Source organism: Homo sapiens, chromosome 4, assembly GCF_000001405.40.
Source record: "Homo sapiens chromosome 4, GRCh38.p14 Primary Assembly".
Classification (NCBI taxonomy): domain Eukaryota; kingdom Metazoa; phylum Chordata; class Mammalia; order Primates; family Hominidae; genus Homo; species Homo sapiens.
This window is the reverse complement of record NC_000004.12, coordinates 79,685,154-79,698,039: the sequence shown is the minus strand read 5'-3', so window position 1 is coordinate 79,698,039 and position 12,886 is coordinate 79,685,154. Positions and strand designations below refer to the sequence as shown.

Below are 12,886 nucleotides of genomic sequence, written 5' to 3'. Positions count from 1 at the left end.
ACACACACGCACACACACACACACCTCTCTAACTTGACTTTTTGTCCATCTAGACAGTAAAATGATGAATTACAGTTGACTGATAGAAAGTTTATTGTTCATAATTCTAATTTTTCCAGCATATATTGTATATTTAATTAAAACAATCTTTGTATAACCTCTGAATAAGAATATTGTTCTGAGCATCTTTCACTTTCTCCTTTAGGTCCACTTTCTGCCAGTTTTTCACTCTCCTGTCTTCTCTGAGAGCCTGGCCTGTATGGATTTTGAGAGGTTCTCATGTGTTCTAACATCCCCTATGTCCAACCAATGGGAAGCCCCAGAAGTTTAGCGGGGAGTTGCAGAATGAGGTCAGGGCATTATTTGCCTAACTCTCTCCTTGCAAGATAAGCTGACCTTTGTCCAGGTCACTGTTCTAAATTCTCTGTTAACTAATCTCTTCTCTCTTCTCTTTACTGAGTCTTAGATTGCAACACTACCTCTCGCGATTCCCCTGTACTTAACACCTCTGTAACTAGGTCCGTTGTAGATGCACCCTCCTCCAGGTGCCTTATTTGGAGTGTGCCATCTGTTTTGTGTTGGCCTGTTGACTGATATAGGTGTTGGAGGACTGTCAAAGTGGTATCCAAAGCATATTTTTGTTAATGATATGAGGACAGATTCCACATCCTAAGCCAAATTTTATTTTTAAAAACTTTCATTTTTAGAGCTTCAGATCTCTACTTTATATACTCAGATAAGTATTCAAAATATTCTTGAAAGGCTCTGTGACAACTTTGTGTGCCTGTATATGTGTGTATGCAGGGGTGAAGATGAGAGGCTGAAGAAAAGACAGGGGGATTTAGGAGGCAGATGGCAGATAGCAGACAGGACAATTGTGCAGCTCCCACTTGGACAGATAGAACAGTGTGTGGAGACTCATACAGCGGATTTTCTCCAAGAACCACTGCAGGAATGTACCAAGAAAACTGAAATAATTCACAGATTATTTGAAATAAGCAGCATGCCTCTGCAAATTCCATAAGACAGGAGAGAAACTGTGAGTTACCAAGGGCGAAAGGGGAAAACCTGCCTCCAAACACACATCCTTGTCATGCACATCCATGTGAAGAGACCACCAAACAGGCTTTGTGTGAGCAATAAAGCTTTTTTATCACCTGGGTGAAGGTGGGCTGAGTCCGAAAAGAGAGTCAGCAAAGGGTGGTGGGATTATCATTAGTTCTTACAGGTTTGGGATAGGCGGTGGAGTTAGGAGCAATTTTTTGTGGGCAGGGGGTGGATCTTACAAAGTACATTCCTAAGGGCAGGGGAGAATATTACAAAGTACCTTCTCAAGGGTGGGGAGGGTGTATAGTACAAAGTACCTTCACAAGGGTGAGGGAATATCACAAATTACATTACCGCAAGGGTAGGGAGGGTGTATTGTCACAAAGTCAATTGATCAGTTAGGGTGGGGCAGGAACAAATTACAATGGTGGAATGTCATCAGTTAAGGCAGGAACTGGCTATTTTCACTTCTTCTGTGGATCTTCAGTTGCTTCAGGCCATCTGGATGTATACGTGCAGGTCACAGGGGATATGATGGCTTAGCTTGGGCTCAGAGGCCTGACAATCCTCACTGGGGAACCTGAAAAATCCAGATTACAGGATAAGGATTTAACCTTACCTAGAGCTGAAACAGATTTAGCATGAACTACAAAAGTAGAAGCAGTAGCAAGAAGAGCCTTGTAGGTACTCCCATTCTCCAGCTCAAACTCAGAGAAGCCATCCCTGACTATATCTCACAGGGGCCCTTGGGGAAGGTAGCCAGAAGAATCTGGGAGAGGTTACAAGGTGAAAGAAGCTTCCAGTTGAACATTGTAATGATTTCAACTGATGCAAACTCTTTTGAGCAGAATTGGGTATTGAATGGAAACTGCGCAGAAGGAGTGCAGGGAGCTGCAGCCCACAGTGTGGGCAGTAGTGCGGAGGGGGGTGGCCTGAACACAGTGTTTGCTTTCTCAGCAGGGAAGCTTTTAGCCTGGGGCAAGGTCTGAGTCCCATCGACAAGCTGCCTGGAGATAAACATGGCAACATTTTGTTGCCATGTGCAACTGTTATCAGGACACTTTGGGAATGAGACTGGCCTCACCAACTGTGTGGGAGCTAGATGAGGCCTATTGCTAACTGCTTTCCCCCACTTCCCTAGCTACCAACCCCATTAGCTTGAGAACCACCCTGCCATCCCCCATAGTAGCCATGGCAAACCCCACCCAAGGAGATTCTGAGCTTAGATCTACCTAAATCTGCCCCTACCTGATGGTATTTCTCTCCCTGCCCTGGTAGCCCATCACAAAGATGTAAATTATTGGTAAGCTTTTATCCCCTTTCTACTATCACAACTGATTCTCTCTTGAAAGCATCACCTCCTGCTGGAGGCCAATCAACCCAGGACATTATAGCAACTCATGACAGAATAACCCTGCTTCAAGGAAGGAGAAAACAACAGTGAATTCCACTGCCTGCAACATCCTGGCTAACAAGAGGTCCTGAGACTGTCCACGTGACAACCTCACTGCTATCATAACCAGCATTCAAGAAAGCCAGCACAGTAAACATATCTACAACCAAGGACTCTCATGAAGTCTACTTCACTCCCCTGCCACCTCCACCAGAGCAGGTGCTGGTATGCACAGCTGGGAAACCTGAAGTGGATCACATCACAGAAATCATTACAGGCATTCCCCAGCACCAATCTGGAGACTGGTAGTTCCACCCACTGGGTGGCTAGACCCAAAAGAATAATAGCAATCACTGGAGTCCAGCTCTCAGGAAACCCCATTTCTAGGAGAAAGGAAGAGCATCACATCAAGCGATCACACTGTGGGATAAAAAAAATCTGAACAGCAGCCTTTGAGTTCCAGATTTTTCCTCTGAAATAGTCTACCCAAATTAGAAGCAATCAGGAAAGTAATTTTGGTAATATGACAAAACAAGGTTCTATAACACCCCCAAAAGCCCACACTAGCTCCTCAACAATGTATCCATACCAAAAATAAATCTCTGAATTGCCAGATAATGAATTCAGAAGGTTGATTATTAAGCTACTCAAGGAGATAACAGAGGAAGGTGAAAACCAACGTAAACGAATTAAAAACACAATACAGGATATGGATGAAAACTTCCCCAGAGAAATGGATATCATAAAGAAAAACAATTACAACTTCTGGAAATAAAAGACACATTTATAGAAATACAAAATGCACTGGAAATTGTCTCCAATAGACTAGAAAAAGTAGAAAAAAGAACCTCAGCACTTGAAGACAAGGCTTTTGAATTAACCCAATCCAACAAAGACAAAGAAACAAGAATTTTAAAAAGTAAAGCCTCCAAGAAATTTGGGATTATGTTAAATAACTAAACTAAGAATAATTGGTGTTCCTGAGGAAATAGAGAAATCTAAAAGTTTGGAAAACATCTTTGAGGGAATAATCAAGAAAAACTACTCTGGTGTTGCTAGAGGTCTACACATCCAAATACAAGAAGCTCAAAGAACACCAGGGAAATTCATCACAAAAAGATCATCACATAGTTACATAGTCATCAGGTTATCTGAAGTCAAGATGAAGGAAAGAATCTTAAGAGCTGTGAGACAAAAGCATAAGTCAACATATAGAGGAAAACCTATCAGATTAACAGCAGATTTCTCAGCAGAAACCCTACAAGCTAGAGGGATTGGGGACTTATCTTTAGCTTCCATAAACAAAATAATTGCCAACCAAGAATTTTGTATGCAGCAGAACTAAGGTTTATAAATGAAGAAGAGAGAAAGTCTTTTTCAGATAAACAAGTGCTGAGAGAAACTACCACTCCAAACTCAGAACTACAAGAAATACCAATAGAAGTGCGAAATCTTGAAACAAAACCTCAAAATACAACAAAATAGAACTTCCTTAAACCATAAATCTCAGGGCCTATAAAACAATAATACAATGAAAAAGAAAAGGTATTCAGGCAACAACTAGCAAAATGAATAAAACAGTATCTCACATCTCAACACTTACATTGAATGTAAATAGCCTAAATGTTCCACTTAAAAGACACAGAATGGCAGAACGGATAAAAACCTACCAACCAAGTATCTGCTGTTTTCAAGAGACTCACCTAACACATAAAGACTCACATAAACTTAAGGTAAAGGGTTGGAAAAAGATATTCCATGCAAATGGAAATCAAAATTGAGCAGGAATGGCTATTCTAATATCAGACAAAACAGACTTGAAAGAACAACAGTTTAAAAAAGACAAAGAGATATTATATAAAGATTAAAGGATCATTCCAACAGGAAAATATCACAGTCCTAAATATACATGCATCTAACACTGGATAAATTTATAAAACAGGTATTATTTGACATAAGAAATGAGATAAATGGCAACACAATAATAGTAGGGAACTTTAATACTCCACTAACAGCACTAGATAGCTCATCAAGACAAAAAAATCAACAAAGAAACAATGGACTTAAACTATACCCTACAACAAATGGACTTAACAGATATTTATAGAACATTCTGCCCAACAGCTGCAGAATATAGTTGATTCTGTTCATTAACATATGGAACATTCCCCAAAATCGATCATATATGATGGGCCACAAAACTCATCTCAATAAATTTAAGAAAATCAAACTTATATTAAGTATTCTCTCAAACAACAGTGGAATAAAATTGGAAATTAACTCCAAAGGAACACTCAAAACTATACTAATACATGGAAATTAAATAATCTGCTCCTGAATAATCTTTGGGTAAACAATGAAATCAAGATGTAAACTAAAAATTCTTTGAACTGAATAATAATAATGACACAACTTATCAAAACCTCAAGGATACGGCAAAAGCACTGCTAAGAGGAAAGTTAATAGCATTAAATGCCTACATCAAAAAGTCTGAAAGAGCACACACAGACAATCTAAGGTCACATCTCAAGAAAGTAGAGAAACAGAAATAAACCAAACTCAAACCCAGTAGAAGAAAAGAAACAATAAAGATCAGAGCAAAACTAAATGAAATTGAAATAAACAAATAAAAATACAAAGGATAAATGAAACAAATAGCTGGTTCTTTGAAAAAATAAACAAAACTGAAAAACCATTAGAAAGATTAACCAAGAAGAGAGAAGATCCAAATAAGCTCAATTAGAAATGAAATAGGAGCTATAACAATCAATATCACAGAAATAAAAAAGATCATTCAACGTTACTATTGAGACCTTTATGTGCACAAATTAGAGAACTTAAAGGAGAAGGATAAATTACTGGAAATATACAATCATGCTAGGTTAAACCAGGAAAATATAGAATCTCTGAACAGACCAATAACATGTAACAATATTGAAATGTTAATTTAAAAATTGCCAACAAAAAAAGGTCCAGGACCAGACAGATTTCCAGCTGAGGGAATAATCAAGAAAGATCCAAAAAAGAGGTCTTCAAAAAAAGAGTTGTTACTAATCTTACTGAAACTATTCCAAAAAGAAAAGGAAAAGGGAATCCTCCCTAAATCATTTTATGAAGCCAGTATCACCCTAATACCAAAACCAGGAAAGGACGTAACAAAAAAAGTACACTACAGAACAATATTCCTGATGAACATAGATGAAATATCCTCAACAAAATATCAGCCAGCCAAACCCAACAGCATATCAAAAAGATAATACACCATGATCAAGTGGGTTTCATATGAAGGATGCAGGGATAATTTAGCATACACAAGTCAATAAATGTGATACATCACATGAACAGATTTAAAAACAAAAATTATATGATCATCTCAATAGATGCAGAAAAAGCATTTAACAAAATCCAGCATCACTTTATGATTAAAACCCTTAGCAAAAATCAGCTTAGAAGGAACATACCTTAAGGTAATAAAAGCCATCTATCACAAACCTGCAGCCAACATTCTACAGAATGGGGAAAAGTTGAAAGTATTCCCCCAAGACCCACAACAAGGTGAGGATGAACACTTTCACTGCTATTCAACGTTTTTTGGAAGTCCTAGCAAGAGCAATCACACAAGAGAAAGAAATAAGGGGCATTCAAATCAGTAAAGAGGGAGTCAAATTTTTGCTGTTCACCAATTGTATAATCTTATACTAAGAAAACCCTAGAGACTCATCCAAAAAGCTCCTAGATCTGATAAATAAATTCAGTACAGTTTCAGGATACAAAATCAATGTACACAAATCAGTAGCACTGCTATACACCAACAACCACCAAGCTGAGAATCATATCAAGAATCCAATCCCTTTTACAACAGTTCCAAAAAAACTAAAATAAAATACTTCAGAATATACCTAACCAAGGAGGTGAAAGATCTCTACAAGGAAAACTACAAAACACTGCTGAAAGAAATCATAAATGACACAAACAAATGGAAATACATGTTCATGGATGGGCATAATCAATATATTAAAACGACCATACTGCCAAAAGCAATCTACAAATTCAATGCAATTTCTATCAAAATACCACCATAATTCTTCACAGACCTTGGAAAAGCAATCTTAAAATTTATATGAAACCAGAAGGAGCCCGCATAGCCTAAGCAAGACAAACCAAAAAAATAATGTGTGTGTGCATATATATAATAAGCCTATATATATAATAAGCCTATATATAATAAGCCTATATATAATAAGCATATATATAGTAAGCCTAAGCAAGACAAAGCAAAAAAATAATGTGTGTGTGCGTATATATAATAATGTGTGTGTGCGTATATGTGTGTGTATATATATATATATACACACACATATACGCACACACATATATAAAGGCATCACATTACCCAAATTCAGACTATACTACAAGTGTATAGTTATGAAAACAGCATGGTACTGGTATACGAATGAGCAAAAAGAAAAAATTGGGAGGCATCACATTACCCAACATTAAACTGTACTACAAGGCTGTAGTTACCAAAACAGCCTGGTACTGGTATAAAAATAGATATGTAGACCAATGGAACAGAATATAGAACCCAGAAATAAAGCCAAATATTTACAGCCAACTAACCTTTGACAAAGCAAACAAAAACCTAAAGGTGGGGAATAGACATCCTATTCAACAAATGGTGCTCGGATAATTGGCAAGCCACATGTAGAAGAAAGAAACCAGATCCTCATCTCTCACCTTATACAAAAATCAACTTAAGGTGGATCAAAGACTTAAATCTAACATCTGAAACCATAACATCAAAAAAACTCTTCCAGCCATTGGCTTAGGCAAAGTGTTCATAACTAAGAACCCAAAAGCAAATGCAACAAAAACAAAGATAAATTGATGGAACTTAATTAAACTGAAAAGTTTCTGCAGAGCGAAAGAAATAATTAGCAGAGTCAACAGACAAGCCACAGAGTGGAAGAAAATATTCACCAACTATGCAACCGACAAAGGACTAATACACAGAATGCACAAGGAACTCAAACAAATCAGCAAGAACAAACAAAATAAACAATCCCACAAGAATGTAGGAAAGGACATGAATAGACAATTCTCAAAAGGAGACATACAAATGGCCAACAAACATATGAAAAAATGCTCAACATCACCAATTATCAGGGATATGCAAGTCAAAACCACAATGAGATACTACCTTACTCTTGCAAGAATGACCACAGCTAAAAATTCAAAAAATAACAGATGGTGTGGATGTGGTAAAAAAGGAACACTTTTACACTGCTGGTAGGAATGTAGACTAATACAACCACTATAGAAAAGCAGTATGGAGATTCCATAAGTAACTAAAAGAAGAACTACCATTTGATTCATCAATTCCACTAACAAAGTCATTATATGAAAAAGACATTTGCACACACATTTATAGCAGCGCAATTTGCAATTGCAAAAACATGGAACCAGTCTAAATGCCCATCAACCAACATGTGAATAAAGAAAATGTGGTAGAATACTACTCACCTATATAAAGGAATGAAATAATGGCATTCACAGACACCTGGATGGAGTTGGAGACCATTACGTATTTTCACTTATAAGTGGGAGTTAAGCTGTAAGGACACATAGGCATAAAAATGATATAATGGACTTTGGCAACTTGGCAGGAAGAGTGGGAGGCAGCTGAGTGATTAAAGACTAATCCTTGGGTATAGTGTACACTGCTTGGGTGACGGGTGCACCAAAATCTCAGATATCACCACGAAAGATCTTTTCCATGCAAACAAACACCACCTATTCCCCAAAATCTGTTGAAATTTTAAAAAAATGGTCTGCCAGACAAAACAAAGTAAAATATTAAAAAAGAAAAGGAAAAGAAAAAGAAAAGACAGTGTCCTTACTCTCATGAGTTTATAGCCTAGTAGAAAATATAACACAAAAAATAAGTTCCTATAATAGAGCAGACTCTTAACAGGGCTAGAAATAACCACAATGTAAGAAATTTCTCCAAATATTATATAATTAAAGCATAGGCTCAAAATAAAGCACATGGGTAATGGGCATTAAATTTTGACTCAGAAGTTCTAGAGGGTGGTCTGAGTAATTTTTGTTGTTGTTTTTTAAGTTAATTTAAATTCAATTAAATTTAATTGATTTTAATGTTGGTGATTCTGATGCAGACCATCCATAGAAAATACTTTGAGAAATATCACATTAGAAGTTTAAAGGAGGAAGAGCAACTCACATGAAGTTAGGAGGAAAAGCCTGATAGAGAAATGCTATAATCTGAGTTTAAAAGTGGTTTGATTTTATATGAATAGGCAGGAAGAAAAAGAAATATCATTTCAAATGGAAAGCAAAGGAGTGTAGATTTTCATAACATAATGGTTTCTAGATTAATAAGAAAAAATACTAAATATATTCTAAATCACTAAAAAATTAAATTTTAAGGTGTCAGGAATACTCACATATTATCAACTATTTTTGTGCTATCGGATAAAATGTTCTTTTGCATTTCAGAGTATATTATAATCATGTTATTAGCTACTGTAAGAGAATGTCAGCCTGGTGCACTGAATTCACTTTCATCAGGTCATAGAACAACTAAGGTTGTAAAAATTGTGTTACTTTCTCTGTATTGAGGTCATAAAACTGCCCTGAGTCCCAGCACAGGTGGCCACTCTCCATGGGAAATGTCCCAGCCTGTAAAACAAGAAGGTGTGTCATGGATCTGTGGTGATGGCTGGAAACTGAGTACCTCCCTTGCTACATCTGCCTGAGAACTGACATAAGTCAAAGACTTCATGGGCAGAAAATACAAAGATGCCTAATTAGCAAAGTCATTTCCCATTTAAACTGCACATATACTTGAGAGCTGGAGCATTGCTAAGTAGAAGTGTCTAGCTAACTTATTTTCTTTAGAATCTGATCTTGAATGCTTTTGAATGGTTTGTTTGTTTACTTTCTATGAATTTTACCAACTATCAATCACTCACTGGTTTGATAGAACGTCCATCTTCATCTCTACCAGCTAATTTTATTACAGTGGATTCTGTGGCTACGATTTTCTTTCTCATTAATCGCAAATGAAGGATTCTATCATGAAATCATTTTAGGGTTAACTAACAATAAAGCTCAATATTTTAATTTTAAACAAGCATTATCTTTGCCTTGACATACTTAAGAAAATGTTTTTGACAATTTTATCAGTGTTTTCTTTTTGGAAGTGGGCAAACTGTTCAAATATGACTATAAGTTATAAATGCTATACTTATATTACAATCGCCATATATGGAAATATACTGATTTCCAATTAAATGGGATAATACAAAATAAAGTAGAGTATATTTGCATTAATCATTACCTTTGGTCGTAATTTAGCTACTGAAGTTAACTACTAATTTCCTGTTACTATACACTCTATTCCCTTTAAAATATTTCCCATACTGGTTTATATAAGTTCTGGGAGGTATGATCCTGTATGTCTCATTTACACACTAGAGAAATGAAATATAATTGAGTTATTTATTTTATCCTTGGGAATATGATTAATGGAACAATTAGAATCCTCAAGACTGCAACATTAATAGGCTATTTCATGAGGATTTAAGACAAGTATATGCTATAGCTACCAGTTACCAACGAAAATGGAAAGGCATTTTTTAAAGAGAGAAACAAAAGTAATGGCCTTTGAATATTGTCAGTTGACTTCCCAGAACAGTAGAATCTGGAAGCCAAAGTGTTAACATCTATAAGCTGTTCCAACAAGAGACTATATACTGTTAAATATTGGGAGTTATTTAAAATGCCAGTGAGTATAATAGCAGTGCTCTGAAATAACCATTTCATCTGCCTACATTACTCTAAAATTAATGAATAATGAAGTGATGCCCTTCACATTCTCTTCCCTTTCCATTCCAAGATATATTGATCAGATGACATTTATTTAAGTTTGGGATAATGTATTAATTTCAAGATAATTATTCAATATACTTTTGTCACTGTTGATATGCTTCAATGTCATCCAGGGGCCGGGGGATGAATAAACTGTTATCTGACATTGCTGGACAGGGTGCTAGAAATAAATGCAGTTTTTCTCCTTGAGATTCACTGACTTGGGTTTTCATTTGTTGGGGTGGGGGGTGTGGATTAAAGAGCAGAAAGCTGAAGGCAGAGAGGGTATGATGGTGTAACCTGCAGGTTAAGAGGATACAGATATTTTAAAAGATGGTACTTTGGGACAAAGTGCTTTTCCATTGTTTCAGGGGTCAGACTGATCCTCAGCAAAGCTGACAGAGCCCATCCTTAGTGGATGCCACTGTAATATTAACACTCATTTGGAGCAGATGTGACTAAAAGCATGAAACATTGAACAAACAGCTGCCACAGATCCAGTGCCATTGCATAAGCGCTTATGTTCTATTAATGCAGTGGATTGCTGAGGCCAGTAGGGCAGACGTTATTCCCCACAGTTCTTTAGCAGATGGGCCAAACACAATGGCTCTTCAGAGAAGTGCTGCCCTGTTGAAGCAATTCCTCCATCTTATGTAAGATTCTAATGCAAAATCATCTACCCATTAAAAAAGATGTATTAAGGTCAGATTATGCTTTGTCAAGATATTTTGTAGATATACTATGTACTTCAATATGTGCTCATTTTACTTTATTCCTTTTTATTTTGTTTTGATTTTGATAGTGTACCAATGCTCCAATGCTATTTCTTCCTTTCTCAGCTTGTGATTGTGTGTGTTAATTCATGATATACATAGAACTCTTGTGTTTCTACACATGAGATAAGTTGAGATCCCAGTACTTCAAAGTTGCATCTCTACTTATCTGATTCAGTGGGCTCAGACGTGGTGTTTCCAAGTCTTCACTTGCTAATTTGACATCCATATGGGCTTCTAAGATTTTCTTCTGTTCATTGAAGCAATTTGGAATTTAGGATTACAAAGTAAAAATATCAGACATTATAGGTAACAGCTATAATTTGTTCATAATAAAAATTAACAGGTCTCTTGCTTTCCTGTAATGGTGAGACTATATATGGCTGGTATTTGCAAATTCAAAGAGAAAAAGAGCAGGTGATGATTCTAGTTTGTTCTCTCTTGGGCTGATTTGTACTGCTGCTTTCTTACTTCCCATGCAGACAAGGGCCACCTGGGCAATTAATCTGTAACAGGCTGACACACTAATCTCCAGCAAATCGGTAATTCTTTCAAACTGGGCAGAAATGGGAGAGGTGTTATATGAAAATATATTTTTATGGATTCCCAGAGAATGTTTCCTAACTACAATTGTACTTTAGCATATTATACCATCTAAGTTCTCTTCTCCAACTTCAGGATGGAAAAGAAAGTAAGGGAAGGACTGAGTGAGGAGAAAAATAAGTGAAACCATAACTGGAAGATGTATTGGAAAGCAAAATGTATATTATTTACTTATTCTACAGTTTGGGGGGCACATAAGATTCGTCAAACACTATTCAAATGGTACATTAATTAAGTCAATGATCACCAGAATCCTATATTTAATACAGAGCAATTAATAAAATACAATAAAACAATAAATAACAAATAAATTTATCAGATCATTTCAGATTTTCATAAGTGTTATAAAGATATTAATTATAAAACAGGAAAATGTATTAGAGAATACTGGGGTGGGAGTAGCATGCTGCATTAGACAGACTGATCAGGGAAGGCTTCTCTGAGGAAGATTTACTTGAGAGCTGAGAGCTAAAGAATAAGAAAGTGCCATTGCTGGGAAGAAGGGAAGCATTAGAGTCCCAGGTGGAGGAAACAGTTGGGGTAAGTGTTCTATGGCTGAAACAAGCTTGGGCCGCTTGAGGAACCGAAAGAAGCCATTTTAGTTGGCTGTGCTTGAAGCCTCTGTATTAGAATGTCAATTCACCTTTTTGAACTATCTCTTGAGGTGAGTTGGTGATACAAAAGGAACTGTGACTTCAGTCCTGTTCAGCTAGTAGGTACCCACAAGACCCCTTAAACAGTAGTTGTTCATATGGTTCTGTTCTACATTCAAGATCACCCTCCAAACTCCCAGCAGCTCTCTCAGAAACTGGTGTCATCCCAAAAGAGAGAGAGGTGAGTATGTGTGACTGTCTCAGTTTGGACTCATCCTGTTTACCATCCTGACAGCATCAGCAGTATTTTCAAATATGAAGAACAATGTGAAATATTACCATGGGCCCGGCAAATGTCAGGAGAGTGCTGCGAGTAATTCATTAGAGTTTGCCCAGATGTCTCAGAACTGAATGAAACGAGATGAGCTGAGAACGGTATTAGAGAGGAAGTCTGCTCAAAATGTCCTATGTGTTTTTTCCCCAAATCTAACATGAAACAAATCTGAAGCCAGGAAGTGGCAGTTTTAAACAAGTTGTGCTAGATGTCACTTAGAAATGGCAAGGAGGTGTGTGAAATAACTCTG

At 36.7% G+C, this 12,886-nt stretch overlaps 2 long non-coding RNA genes across 4 annotated transcripts in view; one reads left to right on the top strand and one right to left on the bottom strand.

The window, feature by feature from the left end:
- LOC105377302 (uncharacterized) overlaps positions 1–1,128 on the top strand; it is a 47,430-nt gene extending 46,302 nt beyond the window's left edge. The window contains exon 4 of the long non-coding RNA XR_938927.3: positions 206–1,128. This is a non-coding gene — a long non-coding RNA (uncharacterized LOC105377302). The remainder of the gene's footprint in view (positions 1–205) is intronic.
- A 457-nt stretch (positions 1,129–1,585) lies between these two features.
- Positions 1,586–12,886, bottom strand: part of LINC02469 (long intergenic non-protein coding RNA 2469) — a 32,748-nt gene continuing 21,447 nt past the window's right edge. Inside the window, exon 3 of one of the 3 annotated variants that reach the window (XR_007058159.1) lies at positions 1,586–1,627. This is a non-coding gene — a long non-coding RNA (long intergenic non-protein coding RNA 2469). Of the gene's footprint in view, positions 1,628–8,012; positions 8,053–10,690; positions 11,357–12,886 lie in introns of those variants that run through there. The other 2 variants (XR_007058158.1, XR_007058157.1) reach the window with 2 other exon arrangements.